The 19,953-nt window shown below is 48.2% G+C and overlaps 1 long non-coding RNA gene across 1 annotated transcript in view, besides 1 other annotated feature; it reads left to right on the plus strand.

Annotated features, from left to right (window-relative positions):
* The window catches only part of LOC101929268 (uncharacterized), a 146,944-nt gene extending 137,736 nt beyond the window's left edge, over positions 1-9,208 (plus strand). Inside the window, exons 3-4 of the long non-coding RNA NR_105002.1 lie at positions 6,122-6,184; positions 7,256-9,208. This is a non-coding gene — a long non-coding RNA (uncharacterized LOC101929268). The remainder of the gene's footprint in view (positions 1-6,121; positions 6,185-7,255) is intronic.
* Positions 7,122-7,621: an enhancer, noted in NCBI's record as "H3K4me1 hESC enhancer chr8:49608983-49609482 (GRCh37/hg19 assembly coordinates)". NCBI's record gives its function as "activates a minimal SCP1, AML or CMV promoter by ChIP-STARR-seq in primed H9 embryonic stem cells {active_cell/tissue: H9 hESC(primed)}" and the evidence as "EXISTENCE:reporter gene assay evidence [ECO:0000049][PMID:30033119]".
* Positions 9,209-19,953: the final 10,745 nt, after the last annotated feature.

Raw genomic sequence — 19,953 nt, forward strand, 5'->3', positions numbered from 1 at the left:
AACCCTGCAGTGCAGGGAGCACTCACTCCTCCCAGCCTGGGGGAAGGGGGTAAGAACGAGGGTCACTGGTCAAAATGAGAAAGCAGGCATGTGGTCGTCTGTGCTAGCACCTGACCTCTTCCTGCAGCAGAGGATCCTGGGAGTCATTGTTGGTCCCTCCCCTCTGTTCTGAGATGGCAGGACCCCAGTGGCATCAAAGAAGCAGAGACCTGAGGGGTAGCTGTCTGCCCCGTGAAGCCTGAGACCCCCTCTCTGGGCAGCCCCTGCACTGGCCACCACCTGGGAGCGCATGGATCCTTCTAGTTAATGCCTACTCCCAGATCTGATGTGGAGTGTTGTTTATTGTAGACATCCATGTCTCTGTCTCTCCAACCAGGCCTCCTGGGTGGCTGGAGGCAGGGGAGATATTTATTCTCAATGACATATATAGTAGGCATTCAGTAAACCTTAGCTGGACTGGTGAATTATCTTTCAATCACTCATTGTCCCTGTGAAACCATGTGAAAGAGAGAAACGTCAGAAGATTTCTGCCTGTTGTATTAATTCCTTCAAGGCAGGGATCCACAAACTTTTTCTCTAAAGGGCCAGAGAGTAAATACTTAGGCTCTGTAGGCCATCCAGTCTCTGTCAGAACTACTCAACGCTGCTGTTGCAGTGCAAAAGCAACACACATAAATGCACCAGCCCTGCTATGTTCCGGCAAAACTCAGTTTACACAAACATGGGTGGGCTGAGTGGGCACAAAGGCTGGAGTCTGTCTACTTCTATTGGAAGGGTTGCCACAGAGCTTTTAAACTCGGTGCCATAAGAAAATTTCCATACCATGTGTCTTCCAAACATAAAGCCTTCAAGCAACTATGCTAACCCTGTGGGCAGCCTCCACATATCATTCATTCATTCATGTGCTAAATGATTCTGGGCCCTCCCATGGCCAAGTGCTTTCCCAGGTGCAAAAAGAAACAACCCCCAAGCTAGAACCTCAGGTTCCTAATTAGTCCCGAGAGGCGTGCCCCGAGAAGCCTTTCTTTGCTCAAGATTTCAATTCGGTTGATCCTTTGGCTTTTGAATATTTCCTCAACTGGTATGGCTTCAACTCAATGAGTCCTCAAGGAGACCCCTCACTGCAGCCTTGTCTCTGTTTTGGGGACATGCTTTGGGCTTTCTTGGGCAATGCTCCTGTGGGATTGAGCTAGAGCTGGCAGTGGGACCTTGAACCCTTCCCTGCTCCACTGGGCTGACCGTGCGGTCTGAGCTCCTGGGAAGAAGCAGACGTTAAGTGTGTTGGAACATCCCTGCGCTCTCTCTGCTGAAAGAGTACAGTATATGTCGGTGTATTTATACATATATGTATAATTTTTAAAAATTACACTAAAATTTTAGGAGAAAAAAATCCTTATTTAAACAATTGAAATGATGAGATATATAAGATCAGTAACTGTTTAGACAAGAGTATAATTTATTTTATTTTATTTTATTTATTTATTTTTGAGACGGAGTCTCCCTCTGTTGCCCAGGCTAGAGTGCAGTGGCACGATCTCAGCTCGCTGCAGCCTCCGTCACCCAGGTTCAAGCAATTCTCCTGCCTCAGCTGCACCCACCGCCCTGCCCCAGAGTAGCTGGGATTAGAGGCATGTGCCACCAGGCCTGGCTAATTTTTGTATTTTTAGTAGAGACAGGGTTTTACCATGTTGGCCAGACTGGTCTTGAACTCCTGACCTCAGGTGATCCACCTGCCTCAGCCTCCCAAAGTGCTGTGATTACAGGTGTGAGCCACCACGCCCGGCCCAAGAATATAATTTAAATGGACATATGTGAACAATATTTTCTGATAAGCAATACTACTGAATAGTGAGATCTAAAACATTTTTCAATATAGTCCCAGCATTTTGGTAAATTATCTTTTGGTAAATATCACCGAAGAAATTCATTTCTTCATTGACAGTGTTTTTTCTGCAAAACAAAATATCCCTTACTGTTTCCTGAGGAGAAATATTTAGGCAAATAGATCTCCTTTAGATTGGCTAGAATTTTCATACATAGAGAAAAACTGAAAAGGGCAGGTAGCCAGTGGTGTGCTGGTAAATGTATAACAACCAGATCTTCAGGAAAAAATGTATGCATATATATGCACATAATTTTACTAACCATCATCTATGCATAAAGATGTACTGTGCACAAGTTGCAAACAATCATAGCATATATGATGATAAAACATATGCTTTATCATAAATTCTGTTTTATCCTCACAGAATGCTTTCGTTGATTTTGCTGAAATCTTGTTTCTGTAGCCAACCTAGTGTTGCAGCTGATGTGCAGATGTGACTTCGACATGAATGTTGGTTGATATTTTCATAATAATACTAACAAGTAAGGTGAAAAGGAAACAATGAAGATGTGTGTTGGAATGTCACTTGCTCTTCAATGATGTGAGCTATTTATTTGCTGAATTGGATAATGGGTTCTGAACAGAGGAAGAATATTCTCTCAATTGCTGTGCTATTTCACAACGTAACAGCTACCTACACAACACACTTTTAGGTTTAATCTGCATTATACACATTTTATTCTTCACTTTCATAGGTCTAAGTAATGCATGAAGCTATAAATAAAGGTCTGATCTGTGGCATTTGCTGATTCCAGTGGTATAAATACTCCCACCGTGGCTGATTTCATGATACGAATGAGACATCATGAGCTCAGAGCTGGAACGAGATGTGCAGTAGCTTGCTGTTAGGCTGTGCTTCCACCACACAGATACCAGAGATCTAGAACGTGCTAAAGTGGAGTAAAATATGGACAAAGTAGTGATTTTTGAGTTCTTACTAACTTTGCATTTAATATAAGTCATTCAGTTATAGTTCTATATAATTTGACATTTAATAATGGCAGAGTTTAACAAAAAGCTCACAGAATTCCTGATGGTTTAATAGATTTTTTTTGTAAGCCATTATGAGCTAGTTCCAGCATGCTATTGTTCTTTGACAAATATATATTTTCCACTGATGCTGTGATTACTGAGCTGAGTTTGCTGAATGGCTCAACAATTAAAATGAGAAAAAACTTTTAAAAAATTGTAACTTTTTTTTGCCGAAATAGTCACAATGGCTCCCAACAAGATATGTTGTGTGCATTTTTTCATGGAATTACCTTAGAAACTCATATTGCTTCTGGTGACTCTTACTGTATCAACATAAGTATACATATTGCAATAATAAGACAACTCATTGACCTAATTACTAATAGTTCATATTGAGGATTAATATTGACAAAACTGCAATAATGAGACAACTCATTGACCTAATTACTAATGGTAATATTGGGGATTATACATTGACAATAATGCAATAATGAGACAAATCATTGACCCAATTACCAATAGTACATATCAGGGGTTATATATTGATTCTATATTCAGTGAACATAGAATTATATTAAACATAGACTGCAAATTCCATGAGTGTAAGGACTGACTCCTCTAAGTTCTTGTAAAATATCATATATATATATTTGGTAATGTATCTAAAATTATTATCGTCTATCATCATGATAATGTGTAATTCAGATTTAAGCCACTTAACACAGGTAAAATTAATCATGAGGCCAATACAAAAAATATCTCACCTGGGCAACATAATGAGACATCATCTCTACAAAAAAATTAAAAAATTAGCTGGGTGTGCTGGCATGCACCTGTCATCTCAACTACTGGTGAGGCTGAGACAGGAGGATGGCTTGAGCCCAGGAGGCTGAGGCTGCAGTGAGCTGTGATCAAGCTATGATGCACTCCAGCCTGGACTACAGAGTGAGGTCCTGTCTCAAAAAAGAAAAGTGTAGAATTTTGACTGGGTGTTGGCACAGAGTGATTACTGAGTAATTACTCAGTGAATGAATGTAGATAGGAAAAGGATACGCCATATATTAAATCTTTGAGTCTCTGGACTACTTTAAGATTTGCTAGGAGGTTGTCTAATTATTCAGGTGAAATGAACACAAAGTAGTTCTTTCAGTACCCACTTCTTTCTGTTCTGCTTCCTTGTAAGACATTTGCTACTTGATTATGAATTAGGATGGTCGTGAGTGTTGGGAGTAAAAATGCCTCAGGTGCTCGGTGTGCAGGAAGTGTAGGGTGATGAATAGATAGTGTTCAAAGTGGATGAACTCCAATAATGATCTGCTGGAGGAGATAGAAAGGGGAGCCCTGTCTCTGGAGCAGAGACTTTGCCTCAGACCTGGTCAGTCCCATTGCAGATGTAATCTGGGGCCAGGATTGCGTGTGTGTGGGGCAAGCCCTGTGAGCTGGGGTGGGGCGGCCCCTCCTCCAGCCTGTGCCACCTTGTCACTGCTCTGCAGCAGGCCTGCGCAGGCTCATCTGTGCAGGTGTGGCATGCAGTCAAATTTAAGCAAAACAGGTACCCAGTTTTCTTTTTTTAAAAAAGAGAAATAGCTTTCTCCCTAACTTTTTCTTTTGGTGGGCTACTTGTATTTACAAAATTGGATTTCTCCAGTGGGGTGGGACGCACTGGTCTGTGGTGGCATGGGTGCCGCTGGGTGTTCAGTGTGGGTTCTTGTTGGGCTGCTGGCCTGTTAGGAAGGTTTGGGACTCCAGCAGTTATGCTGCTGGCAGAATCGCCTCTGACTTTGGCTGCAGAAGCAATGGCTGGGCAGAGCAGTTGCTGTCACTTGGCTTTATGATCCCCTGCCAAAAAGACACAGGTAGTCCATGTATAAAACAAACACAGCTAATGAATTCAGGAGGAGACTGGGCCCAGCCCTCCTTGGCACTGTTAAACATGCAGCATCAATCACTGTGAAAAGCTGGCTTGCTCAGTTCCCATGCTATACGCGGGGTTCCCAGATCTCCTCCACTCCAGTGAGTCCTGTAGTTTGCTTTAATTGTTCTGTCTATAGAAAGAATATATAATCCATTTATGGTAATAGGAGGTGAAGCTTGGAATCTTTCACAGGAACAGGTTCCCATTCTAGAACAAGTGACTGCTGGAAAACTATCCTGATGGTTTACCCCTTCATGCCCCTCCCCTCAGCTGGAAACAAAACATCCCATGAAAACAAACAAAATCATCACACATACATACCCACACCTGCACCAGGGACACATGCGGGGCCATGACAACTCTGCAGTGTCTATTTCACGGGGTGGTTGATATATTTCAACAAATTTCGTTAAATTGCTATGGCTTTTAAGGAGATCTGATAAAAAGGAAGTTAGATTATTTAAACTGGCCAAACGTAAGAATTAGCTAAGCCTTTCTAGGAAAAACAGCATAAAAGTGGGGTAAGTGTCAAAGGGAACCAAAACAGTATCGGAGAAAATGCTTTTAAGACATGTTGCACTAATAATACTAAGCATGATACAAAGAATAGCTGAACACTTGATACTGCTCTAAGTACCTAACGTACTGACGGAAAATTACTTACTTGCTCCTCTAGAATCAACATCGTCATCCCAAGTAGGAGACCAGAGTCTGTAATCTCAGAGAGGCTGAGATGCTGCCCTCCAGTGTGATGTGAGAGATGAGTGTTGGGGACATAGCAGATGATAGCCTCGCTTTCCCTATATTTGTAGAAGAGCAATAAAGGCCCATGCATCTCACCAGTGTAGAAGAGGAACTGGAAGGGAGGGAGGGAGGGCCATCCGGCCATGGGGAGCTGCCTGAGCAAGGCTTCCCGCTCTGCCAGGCTAAGGAGGGCAGGCCAGGCAGCTGTCGCTCACATGCTCTGGCCTGCATATTTGGGAGGGGAAGAGCGCCTCCTTGCCAATGTGCTGCAAAGTGCTCAGCCATGAGAATTGCCACAAATCCTGTGGAGCATGCACCTTTGGAAGCATCAGGCTGGAGCTTTGACACACAAAAGAATTTTGGAAAGCCAAGTGGCCCTTGCCAAGGTTTTAGAGCTGGGATTTATCAAAGGCTTACCTGCCACACTAGTCATAAGGAGCTCCAGGTGTCTGGGGCTCACCTGAAGCCACCTGTGATTTCCGTAGGGCCGTGTGGGAGCTATGGGTAAGCGCCTACTCCAGCTCTTGGGTAGGCCTACTTTGATCAAATGTTCTTGCATCGTAAACATTAGTCATAGGAAAGTGAGACTTCTGTGTTCTCTGTAGGTTTGTCTTCTCCTGAGGAAGTGGATGCCATGTGTCACTTTGCAGATGGATCAAGTGCAGGAGGTAAAATAACTCCCTGAGCTTCCCAGATCTTCCATTCATCATTCTTTTTCTTTCCCTTGGAAAACTGATTTGCACAGAAATGAGAAGTTTACTCTCTTGCTTTTGGATCTGTTGCATGATCGCAAAGAAAAGAAATGCCTTACTTGATATTTCGACATTAAACTTTACAATCTGGAGAATTTTTCTTCCAGCACCTCGTCCTGGGTAGTTGAGTATAACGGCCCCCATATTTTGACCAGGAACTGAAATGAACCCCATCCAGGGCTTGCTTGGGTGTGGAAAGCTTTCAGACTCATGGGTGGAGCAGAAATCCTCATGCTGCACTCCCCCATGAAGCAGAAGTCACAATCTGTGTAGAGTCATGGAGAGGAGGAAGTTGAACTTCACTGTGCTCCGAAAATAAGACATTGTGTGGTAGAGTGTGGGCCAGCAGCCTGGGTAAGGCATGGCCCAGGTAGAGAGCTCAGGATGACTAGGTGTCTTCCCTCATTGCCACTAGGAAGTGAGTTCACTCCCAGACTCTCCTAGGACCTCAGTCTTAAGAGCGATCACAGCTGCCTGTTAACCAGCCTGAATGCAAAAAGTGAAAAAGCATTGCCTTCAACTGGAAAAGAAGGGCACCTTTGAAGGAGCTGCTGCAGAGAGGTCATTGGAGGAAATCTCAGCATCCCCCACGCCCTCCCCTCCCTGTGGCTGGAAGCCATGGGGGGGCTTTCATGTTAGGTCAGAGGCTTCCCCACAGCCCCTTTCCCTTGTCTTGGAATGTCTGTGTGAGGGCGTGGCTGGCAGAGTGGCCGGAAGTCCACAGAGTGAGAGGAGTAGGTGCTGGACCTGGCATGCAGACTCTGGGCTGTGACTCAGGCCCAGGCAGGGTGGGTGGGGAAGGGAGTGGTGGGGACATGGGGTCCTGACGGAGGTCGGGAGGCACAGGGTGTGGGTGCTGCTTGTCTCCCCAGCTTCTCCACCGCACCATGTGTCTGGGTCTGTGATTACCGGAGGCGACTCGCAACAGGCCCAGACTCGCCTGTGTGCATAGCACTAAGGGTAATGACAACTCCTCTGTGTGTGCAGGTGCCTGTTGGAGACGCAGAGCTCTGCAGCAGCAGGTGAGCTGATGCTGCAACCTGCTAAACGCCGCTCCTGCGGAGCGCCAGGGCCCAGAGTGCACATGGCTCTCAGGCTCCGTGAAAAGCTTGCAGTGAGCTCAGCCACTGAAAAGTCACTACGAAGATGGAAAGCAAAATGAAAACCGAGTCCTCGGTACCCTATGTTTATCTGTCTCTAAGAGAACATCCTTGGGTTTATTTATGATTTGAGTACTTCATAAGAAAAGTAGTATAAAATAGAAAATAATGTGTTGATGTCCTATATAAGTGAATCTACTCAATACAATTTATAAAGCATATGCTTCTACAGAAATGTCTTTGTACTTAGAAATGACACTTTAGTTAACTTCTTAGCCAGTCCTTGGACATTTGAGTATAAAACAAAATGGAAGTGGCTCCAGCCAGCGCCAAGAGACCCTGGGAGGTTTGCACTGTGTGCTCTGCAGGGGCCAGGTATCCTTCATCACAGCAGCAGCCTGCGTGGCCCAGCACAGCCTGCAACTGCAGAAACAGAGCTCACCGTGGCTGCTCCCCATTTACAGTTTATGCCAAAATCTAGGTCACTTGAGTTCTCAAGTGAGTTCTTAATCAGGGAGTACATGGATAAGGCCTATTTTAATGTTTTTATTTAATCCTATTTAGTTTTGTGTACTTACGGCATCATCCTGAGAAGGAAGTTTGTAGGTTTCATAGGAGCCAACATGGTTCACACACAAAGACAGGCCAAGAACCCCAAACATGCCATCGGAGAGCAGCCAGGGCCCCCAGGATTGACCCTGATCCCTGTCTCTCTTCAGGCCACTGCCTCCCCCAACCCCAGGATACCTCAGGCCTGGCACTTAGGCCCACAGCGGAGGGCATGTTCCCCCACTTCGACCTACCCCAAGACAGGCCTCTCCTTGTGAATACTGACAATGGAAAATGTTTCCTTCTGCCAAGGGAATCCCGTGGCCCTCACAGGAGTGTGGGTTTGGCCTTGGGTCTGAATAGATGGCTGCATGACTGCCTGGGGTCATGCCGCTCAGAGGCTGAGTGCTCTAGCCTGCAGGAATAGTGGGGATGGGGGTCTACACACCAAGCCCTGGTGGACTGTGTTGGGTGGGGCAGTGTCTTCCTCAGTCTGTTGTCAAGGAGGCTGTAAAAATACTGTGGCTCAATCTCGTCCATGGCTACAGAGCTGCATGCAGAAGCCAAAGGTGCCTGGTTTTGCCTTAGTATTTTTCACGTAGAAAGAGAAGAGACAAGTACATTCGTTTAGAAGAAACTCACCAGGAAAAGCAAGCACGGACTGACTTTTTAGGCATGTGAGCTGGATGGGAGGAAAGGCAGTGGTTGGGTGGAGGAGGGGATGACTGTTTTGCTCAGAGCCTCCTTCAGTTCAATTAGTCCGTCTTCCATCTTCACCTGCACCTGTAGACACCGCTTCCTGGAGCTGTTCTGTGCAGAAGTTGAGTGAAGATACTGCAGCGAGCCCTGGGTCTGAACGCCTGTGTGCTGACTCTAGACCTGCTCCTCAGCCCCAGTTTTCTCTGAAAAACCAGGATTCTAGCACAACTCGTACCCCCATTCTTTTCAGTCCTGCACCCACCAGCGAGCCGCAAGGCCCAGGAGCTACTGGCCCTGTTTTCCTGTCTCCAGTACTGGCCTTTGATTTATGAGATGTCCCCTGTCTCCCCTGCTTCTGACCTCCCAGGATGGCATTTGGTGATTTCTTGATGTTCTCTTGCTTTGGCATTAAAATATGGATGGGAGTGTCATTTCCAGATCTTTTCCAGACCTGTGCAATTCTTTCCATTCTTCATAACAGCCCATGACCCACCTTCCTCTGTTTCAGCCACAAAGCTAGCCATGCCTGTGTGCGCACTGCTGTTTCTCATTGTTAATATTTTAACTGTTATTAAAAAAAAAACTTTCTTTTAAACTGTGTGTGTATGGTTTTAAAAATTGACGCACTTCCAGAGCTCTCAACTTCTGCAGTCTTTCTGAGGTCCGTGTTCCTCTTCTTCAGCTGGGAAGCAAATGCTTGACTTAATCCTTTCCCAGGTTTTCTTCTACAACTCCACGTGGAAAAAAAGCAACACACTGAGCCGGAAATGCCTTGCCCAGGAGGATTTGTTGCCAGGCTGCATGGAGGGGAGTCCTTAGAACCTGGGCAGCCTTCACCTCCCCATTCCTGTCGCTCCCACGCAAGTCTTCCTTGGACAGCAGGTTGGGGCATTGTTCAAAGAAAGTCCCTGCTAACGAACAGAGTATGGCTTCCCTCATTATTACGGCAGATTTCCTCCCACTTTTTTCTTTTGTAAAATGAAGAACTCTTCACACTACAATTTTTATGGGAGATATTCCTTCTACCTTGGGTGGATGTGTGAAAAGCAGCCAGAGGAAAATATGATTAAAGAACAGGGTGGCAGAAGTTTTGGTCAAGTGAAATATTTCCTGAGAGCCCTGTCTCTTCTCTCCAGGTATCCAGTTTCCAGGCAGGTTGCATGGGAGAGAGGCAGGTGTGTGTGTGCATGCAGAGGAAAGAGAACAAAGCCCGAGGGATCCAACTTCCAGGAAATCTCTGCTGCGCTGGTGCAAAGGAAAAATAACCCCTGCTCTCCTCTCAACTTAAAAAAAATTTTCTGTTTGGTTTTAGTTTACAGAAGTCTAAATATTAAGCAGTTTCGTGGTGATAATGATGCAGCCACATTTTAGATAAATTCTTTGAACTTTTTAAAGCCCTTTGTGTTTTCCTAATAGTTACTCATAGAAGGGCTGGGATAGGAAAAATGCAGGCAGGCCAGCGCCTGCTCCTGAATGCCCGTTTGAGCAATCGTATACCCTACAAATTCAGCTCGTCACTTTTTTTTTCCTGGTGGTGGCGGCAAGAAGTTGGACGGGTTTCTGGGTACATCTCGTCCTGTGGTGAGATGAATGATTTCCTTTCAGCCTTGTATGTTTGAAATGGGTTCCTGACATGGTGTCTGTGCCCTGATGGGAGCTGCTTGTCTGTGTGAAGACAGCTAGCAGGACACAGAGGGCTCCGGGCAGCCGGGGTCACTCCGCTCCTAGCAGGCCCACCTGCACCTCCCTCACCTGGGGGCCCTGGAGGGGGGGCTCACATGGCCCCTCTTCCCTCCAGATGTCTCAGGTCAACTCTGGGCTCTGATGTCCTGGGACATGTGCTGGGTGCTCCTGGCAGGAGCTGCTGTCGCGTCTGAAGTGTCCCTGTGGTTGGGGCTGGCAGGCAAAGGGCCAAGAGATGTTATCTTTATAACATCTGCCGTCATCTCTGCTGTGTGGGAACTAATGGCTGCGTTTGAATAATTAGGCCTTTGCACCATAGCACAACAAAAGCCGGCATTGCTCCATTAAAGCAAACATAATTACTGTAGCTCACACATTCAGAGCCCCTTTCATCCCTCCAGAAGCTGCAGAGTCGGGAGGATCTGAGTCTCTCGCTCAGCTCCCAAGGAGCCTGCCCCCTGGGTGCAGTGTGGGCATCAGGGTGGTTTGTCTTTCTGTCTCCTCTGTGCTTCCTGAGCACTTGTGGCAGACCTCTGCTTTGGCCTTCTGCATGCTACCTTTTGGTCCCATAAGCTGTTGTCTCTTGGGCCCAGCGCTGCATCTTGCCCAAATTCATTTCCCTTAGGCAGATGTTGGGGCTTAAGTCTCCTGACCTCTCTGTGCCTCAGTTTATTCATCTGATAATCACCACATCTGCCCCGTCAACTTCCAGGATGGTTGTAAACATCAAACGAAGTCATGGATATAAAAGTGATTTGCAAAGTGTAAAAATGCCACACAAATAATAAAAATCTTACCGTTACTCAGGTTAGGGCACGGATACTATTTAACCAGTCACCAGTCCTGGGACTCAGCATGTGGCCCTCCCACTGACAGCTTTTGGAAACTAGGCTTCATTTTCATGGTGGCCAGGATAACCTTAAAGACTAATGGTCATGTTTACTAGAAACTCTGGCCTTCAACTTCCTGGGAGATGTTTCCTTTCTCTCAGTGATCAGTGTGTTCTTTTCATTAGCCAATTAATCAATATTTTTGGAACACCTATACCAAACAAGATACTGTGTTAGTCAATGTTGCAATATGAACATGTGTGAGGGCAGTGGTGAATACAAATCTCTCAAGTCCCTTATCTGAAAAAGTTGTGCCAAATTGGTGATAAAGACAAAGATGACTCTGGATTTGGAGCAGGGACTTCCTTCATCCTTCTCTTATTTTCAAGTTCTGTTTTTTTATTCATGAATCTAGGGTTGGGGATGTGTCATGGAAGAAGTGGAAGTTGACGTACACCTTCAAAGAGGGATACACTCTTAGTCGACAAAGGAAGGATGGACTTGTAACATCATTCATTGAGAGCTCAGATGGGAATCATATTTTGGAATTTGCCCTAAGACACCCAGCCACCCATTGCTTTCCTGGGTGGCACACCTCTCACAATGGATGGGTGAGAATCCTGCAGGCTGTCACTTGTAAGCAAACCCAAGATTAATCTGACACAGTCTTTAAGGAGCAGTGATTGTATTGTGGGCGAAAGGGGAAATGTGGGTAAATTCTTCACACCAACTTCTGAATGGAGATGTGTTGGGTTCTCCCATTTGAATTTCAAGCCTGTAGAGAAGGACACATGGGTTTGGTTTTCTTTACTTAGCAATCTTCCTGGAGTGCTCTAACTTTCCAAGGATCCAGAGAGCTCTTTAGCCTCTGCAAAGCCCTCTGCTCTACAGAGCCGCCCCAGGCGGCTTGTAGAATCTTCACACAGGGTGGGAGCTTAACTGTCATGTATTGACATGGAAATTGCAGGTAAATGAGATCTATTTTGTCTCTTGAGGAGTTTATATTTTGTAGAGTGTAAAGATACACTAACAGGAAATTGTGTTTTACAGGGCCAAGTACGACAATAGGGTAACAGGGGAGTGTGGTAACCCTACTAAGGGAACACAGCTTGCCAAGAGCCACCAGAGAGAGTTTCTGGGAAAAGACAACGCCAGGAACATGTCTGGTGCATGAGAGGGAGTCACTCAGACGGAGAAAAGGTGCGAGGAATGCCCAAAAGGGAGGAGGGAAAGAGGCCAGTGCAGGCTGGAAAACTGGGAGAAAATGTCAAGACTGAAGTAGGTAGTGGGGGCGATTATGACATGGAAGACAAAGTGCAGTTTGAGAGGAAGAAATTGAGGAGATGGTGTTCAAGGTTTAAAATAATGAAGATGCAGATTGTGGAGGGGAACACGTTCCAAAGGCGGCCAGGTCCATGGGGTGCATGCTTGCTGAGAGGCCCTGGCACTGTAAGGCTCCCACAGATGGTTTGCTACAGGACATTTGTCATTTGCAAAGGAAGAGCTGAATTCTGGGGATGTATGGGGAAATTTCTGAGATTCTAGCATCACGAGTTTGAGCTGAGCATGCTCTTCATTTGTCATCAGTTTAATGCGGGTTTATTATACACCAGACAAGAGCACTGTGGGGAATGTGAGTCCCAGGCCTCATGACATCAAAGTTGATAATAAGTGTGATGCTCTCCCAGGCTGTAACAGATGCCTGGACAACACACTCAGGGTGGCCAGACTTCTTGGCAGAGGCTGGAAGGGCTTCACTGGGGAGGGAGAGCAGAAATTTTCCAGGCAGAAGGGAGAAAAAGGGAAGGAAGTCCATTCCTGCAAGAGACACGGAGGTGTGGGAGTGTGGACAGGCCTAGGGTTGCAGCATCATGGCAAAGGTGACTCAAAGGATCTCCAGAAATCCATTGTCTTTCAGAGAGTTGTAGTGTGTGCCAAAAACCTCAACAGCCTTTCAGAAGCACCAAGTTGCCCTAACACCCTCTCCTAACCTCCTGACTGGCTCAGAACCTATCCTGTCTAAGAATAACAGTGTCTGCTGAGGAAGGGAGAGAGTTTCTCAGTCAGTGTAACATTTACCATATAAATTCCTATTCTGTTGACCTGCACATTTACCTCCTTTGAAAGTTATGGTTTTGTGGTTAGCCGAGTGCTAAAAACCTATAGGTTTCAAACCCCTCATCATTGTAAGTTTACCAGGAGGCTGAAGATGAATAGAATCATCACCCTAGTGAAATCCTTCAGTTACCTATACCTGCAGGGGCTCATCTTAGGAATCATAGAATATCTCATAGCTTAATTTTTAAGTTTCACAATGATGTTTATTTCTTAATGCATTGTCATAGCTTGTTCTAACCTTATCAATGTAATAATCTATTTAAATCAAACCAAACTTATTATACACTTCAGTTTAGTCTGCTTACTTTACTTCCATTTTTTTGAGGATATATTCCAAGTAATAAAATTCCACATGCAGAGTTCAAATAAAGGCATTGAATCAGCCCTTGCTGTTCTCCAGGCAAAGACATGCTTATTCCAGTAACTTTGCCAGGTGTACGAGTGTCTGCAGTTAACCCCCTTTTGTTCTCCAAAGGTCTTGCTTTATCACCCAGCCTGGAGTGCAGCGTTACGGCCTCGGCTTACTGCAGCCACGACCTCCTAGGCTCAGTGATCCTCCCACCTCAGCCTCCCGGGTAGCTGGGATTATAGGCAAGTGCCACCGTGCCTGGCTAATTTTTGCATTTTTCTGTGAGACAGGGTTTCACCATGTTGCCCAGGCTGGTCTCGAACTCCTGGTCTCAAGCAATCCTCCAGCCTCGGCCTCCCAAAGTACTGGCATCACAGGTGTGAGCCAGCACATCCAGCCTACAGGGGCATTTGTAATACCAAATGAAACAGGACCAAAATGAACTGGCTGCTACTGCAGCCATGCACGGATGAGTAGAATGGAGACATCCATTTCTGCTCTTGGTTTCACACAGCACATCAGAGGCTGTCAGAGCTGTAGGCCATAGAGAGTTACCAAGCCCCGCAATTTGTATTTGTTGGGTATACAATGGCGTCACATCTGCTTTCTTGAAAAACAACATTGCCTTGAGCACACACACTCCGTTGACATTCAGGTCAAAATAAGTTTTCCACTAATGCTGTGCCGTGGGGTTCAATCCTTCACTCATTCAGCAAATATTGACTGAGTGCCCACTACCATATGGGTAGACAGCACAGAAGAGGACTGACCAGGGCCATGTTTTCATGGATTTACGTTCTATAGAAGGGGAAAAAAAGAGAAACATAAACAGAAAAAAATGCAGCAGGGCATGATATCGGGGTGCATGACTGTGGCCAGCCATGTGCAGTCCCCTCTGTGGGCACAGGTGAGACCTGGTCCTCCCTGAGACCGCACTGACATGGCTTGCCCTAGCAAACTGTGGTGATGGCACGGTTAATGTCACATTTATCTTCTAAAGTGTTGCGAGCTTAACATGTCTTCCTTTTTTCACAAAATAATGGAGGGAAATATTAAATACTGGCCAAGGACTGAAGCCTGTTGCAGGCAGCGAGGGCTGGATTTGAAGGTGTGTAGGGCTCCCTGTCTAACTTTCCCAGACATCAGGAGACAGTGTCACCCTCCTGGGGGAAGAGAGGCTGCCTCAGGACTGGCAGAGTAGTCCCTACCCCGCCTCCTCTGGCACAGGCTCAGCCAGCCCACACCAGCACCCTGGGATCTCCACTGCCTGCCCCACCTCCTCCCACTGCCCCTCACTCTGGAGCTGCCCCTGTGTGTCATCAAAGCCACCAGAGCAGGAGACTCCACACACCACTCCCTCCCTCTTGTCCCCCCACAATGCACACCATCATCTTGCAGCCAGACAATGAGCATAGGACTGCTATTCAGAAAAGCGCGTGGCTTCGGAGGCTCAGGACATGTCCTGACGGCACCTGCAGGTTTTCTTTTCCTGGGGCCACGGGCACTGGCGGTGCTGCACCTGCCGTGGGCCAGCGCCCTGCCTGTCAGCCGCATACCTGGGCGCTGGTGCAGGCCCTGGCCTGCTCCACATCCTGCCCTGCTGCGATTCTGTCTCCCCACTGCACCATCTCTCAGTAGACTCTGTGGAGCAAGGCTGTCCCTCCCAGACTGCTATTTGATTTTCTAGAATCCTGCGGCCATGAAAGGAGAGAGAAACACCGCCCTTTTCGCCTCTCCCTCCCGGCCGCAGGCCAGGGTGAGAGCTTGCTTGCCTCATTCAGTCTGTTGTCAGTCAATTTCTTTCCTTATTATGGTGTTTCAAGAAGCAAACCCATCTCACATATATGGGGTCATGTTGTGTTTATACTAGTGCGTATCTCAGAAGAGAGGTGAAACTCATCGTTTGGTGAAATAGGCATTTGTTGACATGAGAAGGCCAGCGTTCATCAGAACCAACATGTATGCTTTTTATAAAACCAAAGGTTGTGTGCTACTGGATCTTGAAAGATTTATATAATTTTTTCAAGCTCTAAGAGATGTCTGCAGAGATGAGCCTGTTCAGAGAGCCAGGGAGAAGCTGACTCAGAAGTAAGTGGCAGCAAACAACTCTCAGCAGGGGCCTGGCTGAGAGCAGAAGAGGGGCATCCCTGTGGGTGCAGGAGGCCCGTCCTCTGCCCTGGGAGCTGCATCTGGCTCGCAAGGCTGGACTCCAGGGTCTGCAGTCTTCGCCCCTGTGATTTGTTCCTTGGCACTGGAACAATGAGGAAGTTTTGCTAGTAGTGGTGGAGCAGGTGCCACTGACTTTGTGACCATAGCAGTGATTGAAATACTCCAAGTATTCTCCAGTGACAGGAGTGAAAAATCTCGTTTTCTGCTTTATTGGACCTCTTCACACAGGCTGTGCATTTCATCTAGGGTACGAGAATGCTCTGTCCACTGCACAGGTGACAGGCAGTTAAGTGACCATTGTCTAGTCAGTGGATGTCTGCTGGCAAAGGGAGGGAGGTGGTGACAGTGCACTTCAGTGGGGAGGGAGCCTGAGTTTCACCCATGTAGACTAATGTCCTCTCAGCCGGCAAACCCTGCAGGCCCAGAACTCTGTGTGAGTGGCTGGGGCCCCATAACAGGGGCAATGTGGAGAAAAACAGCCAGGAGGGAGGCAGAAATAAACAAGGGGATGTGTGTTAGGGGGAGGAATGTTTTCTTCAGGGACTAAGTGGCAGCATGAGGTGCACAGCAAGCCATAAATTACGGAGGAAGGGGCCACGCCGTGCAGCACCCATGCTGGGGCGATGGCATGCAGACGTGAGAACACATGGCGGGGGGTGGTCTGGCAAGTCCTGGGCCCTCCCCGTGCTGCCCCCAAACTTTCCAGTCAGAGACCCATGTGTGGCAGTGCACTTGTGGGTGAAAGGCGGTGAGGGAAGCCTCCGTCCACTTGATGGGCACAGTGGGGATAAATCTCTTTTTAATATTAGATGTACTGACATGCCTTCCAAAGTAGATAATTCCTCTCTTCCCAGCTGGCAAGCCCACTCGGCTCTCCAGGACCACCGCAGAGGGATGCTGAGGAAGGTGGTCTGCCTTACTTCTGGCAGGGCCCATCAGTGTTCTTCCTCATTGTGGCTGGCCACATTATTTCTAACTGCCAAAAATACCATTTGCTTTACTTTCCCTGCTTACTGCTCATGCTCATCCAGCTTGATGCTGTCCATCAAAGAGCAATTCTAGGTGCTACTAGATGGACTTGTACAGTGAGTGCTACTGTGGTCTCATATCCACACTCTTTCTTGATTGTTTATAAGGAACCAACTTGTATGGCCACATACAGTTTGTGTGGCCTATGGGACTAGGGCATTACTTTTCTACCCTCTCAGCCATCAGCATCAGCCAGCTGGCCTGCTCACCTGTGCCTGCCCACCTGGGTCTGCTCACCTGCACCTGCCCTCCCGCCCCTGCTGCCGTCAGAGCTGAGAACAGGGCTGCTTTTGCAGGTCAGCCTTCAGGAGCCAGTGGGCAGGAGCAGCCTGCAGCCTGAGGCTGTAATCACAGGCCTGAAGGCACATCTGTTGCTCATGATCCCAGGACTGTCCAGCTCACCTTTATCATGAACTCTATTTTCCCATAACCCTCCATGAAGTGACTGGAATAGTCACAGGGTGAGTAGAAAACCATGTGCATTAATCTAGAGGCTTCCTCAGCAAGACATGCAAGTAAATGCAAAGCCAGGTGGAGCTGATGACATGGGAGATCCAGAGAGGAGGTCTCACTTCATGTGTGAGCTCATGCATGCATGCATGTGTGAGCTCATGCATGCATGCATGTGTGCATGGAGGAATACATAACACACATGCACACCCACACATGCACGCACATACAACCAGAACTTAAATTAAGACCAGATAACAAAGTGCTCTAAAACTCACATAGCAATAGGTTTCAGTTGGGTGGTTAGCAATAGGTACAGGAAAAGATTTCTTCACAGTAAGCTGTGAGTTTCTGAGGCACTGTTTTCCTAAAGAGAACATCCCTGGATGCTCAGCCAACAGGGATACTGATTTGACCAAGAGTCAGCATTCTGTGGAAGTAGACAGTGCATTCTTAGCTCGGCAATTTTGCAGGGAAGGTATTTGTGTATCATACAATGAGGAATCTCTTAATCACCTACTCGTGGCAGCTGAACTGCACCTTGGCTTCTGCCAGGCCTGCCCACTTAGGACGCGGAACCCTGGAGGAATTCCAGTCCTGCCCTGGAATAGCTGCAGGTGGGCTGGCAGCCAGCAGCATGCACTGAGCGCTGCCTGAACGCTGGGAGGTGTGACCCGGGTGGGATGTAGGGTCAGCATGGCTGTTCTCAAGAGCATGACACTGAACAGAACACTGCAATGCATATGGACTTTTGCATTACGTCACAATCACGAGAGTTGACAAGTACTGAACATCTCCTATGTGCTGGGTACCACTCTCGGTGCTTTCAGTCTATTCACCTAAATCTTCCCCACCCTGCATGGCAGGTGTTCTGAGGAAAACCCCACCCCGCAATGACTGTGTAAAGTGAGGCACCGAGTGCTCTAGGCACCCGGGCTGCAGTCCCTCCTGGCAGCCGCCTTTCCTGTAGGGTGCACGCAGGGGCATGGTGGGTTCTGGAGGAGGGAGCCCTGGCATGGCGCTGAGTTCTTGCTCAGTGGCCCAAGCAGAGGTATGCTTGCTCCATCCAGGGGGATCAGCTGTGAGCACTGGGTTCAGAGCACAGGGCAGGGTGCAGGGCTCAGAGCACCTTTTCAGGAGGCTGCAGCAGTGGCCCTGTGAGGCCGGAGAATGAAGGAAGGGCTTGGGTGCACCTCTAGCTGGGGAGCAGTACTCTTGTCCCGGGGTCTAGCTGGGGTGCACTACTCCTGTCCCTGGGTCTAGCTGGGGAGCACTGCTCCTGTCCCTGGGTCCAGTGAAGAGCACTACTCCTGTCCCTGGGTCTAGCTGGGAGCACTGCTCCTCTCCCAAGGTCTAGCTGGGAGCACTACTCCTGTCCTTGGGTCTAGCTGGGAGCACTGTTCCTCTCCCAAGGTCTAGCCAGGAGCACTACTCTTGTCCTTGGGTCTAGCTGGGAGCACTACTCCTTTCCCTGGATCTAGCTGGGGAGCAGCCTTTCCCTGGATCTAGCTGGGAGCACTACTCCTGTCCCTGGATCTAGCTAGGGAGCAGTGCTCCTTTCCCTGGGTCTAGCTGGGGAGCAGCCTTTCCCTGGATCTAGCTGGGAGCACTACTCCTGTCCCTGGATCTAGCTAGGGAGCAGTGCTCCTTTCCCTGGGTCTAGCCAGGGAGCATTGCTCCTTTCCCTGGGTCTAGCCAGGGAGCATTGCTCCTTTCCCTGGGTCTAGCCAGGGAGCATTGCTCCTTTCCCTGGGCCCAGCCGGGAGCACTGCCCTGCCTTCATTCCTGCCTCCTTGCTCCTTGGCTGCAGCCAGTAGGACAACAACCACAACATGGAGTTAACTTTCTACAAAGGGAAAATGTCCTCCTATTCCCCACTCCCCCAAAATGTATGCCAGCCCTTTCAGAGGAGGGTGGGAGATCCCCTTGATCAGGTATTCAGAGCTGGCAAAAGACAAGTGGCTCCATTACTTTCTCCTGCTTCCAGCTGAACGTGATAATTGCTTATTTTTAGAACTGCCTCTGGTGACAGGTCATGAGCGGGCTGAGAGGTAACTCAACAGAGAAGCCCCGGAGCACCAACAGTGTGTACTAACCCATGTGCGCTCCTGGCATGTGCAGGGACTCAGGCAGCATTTATAAATTCTTGGGATTGTGAGTACTGAGCTGAACTGCTTAGAGCCAATGTGCCGCAGATGGCTGAAGGTAGACAGAGGAGAGTCCCAGGCATGTAGGGACAGTGGATCATACTCACAGGGGTGCTCTGCAGTCAACAGACTGCCCGCGTCCATGCAGCCTGGGAGAGAGGGCAAGGAGGGGCGCTCTTCTGGGGGAAGAGGAGCTGCCCCGGGACTGGCAGGGGAGTCCCCACCCCGCCTCCTCTGGCATAGGCTTAGCCAGCCCACACCAGCACCCTGGGATCTCCACTGCCTGCCCCGCCTCCTCCCACTGCCCCTCTCTCTGAAGCCACCCCTGTGTGTCATCAAAGCCACCAGAGCAGGAGACTCCACACACCACTCCCTCCCTCTTGTCCCCTCCCAATGCACACCATCATCTTGCAGCCAGACAATGAGCATAGGACAGCTATTCAGAAAAGCGCGTGGCTTCGGAGGCTCAGGACATGTCCTGACGGCACCTGCAGGTTTTCTTTTCCTGGGGCCGCGGGCACTGGCGGTGCTGCACCTGCCGCGGGCCAGCGCCCTGCCTGTC

The sequence above is a fragment of the Homo sapiens genome, chromosome 8 (genome assembly GCF_000001405.40).
Source record: "Homo sapiens chromosome 8, GRCh38.p14 Primary Assembly".
NCBI classification, from domain to species: domain Eukaryota; kingdom Metazoa; phylum Chordata; class Mammalia; order Primates; family Hominidae; genus Homo; species Homo sapiens.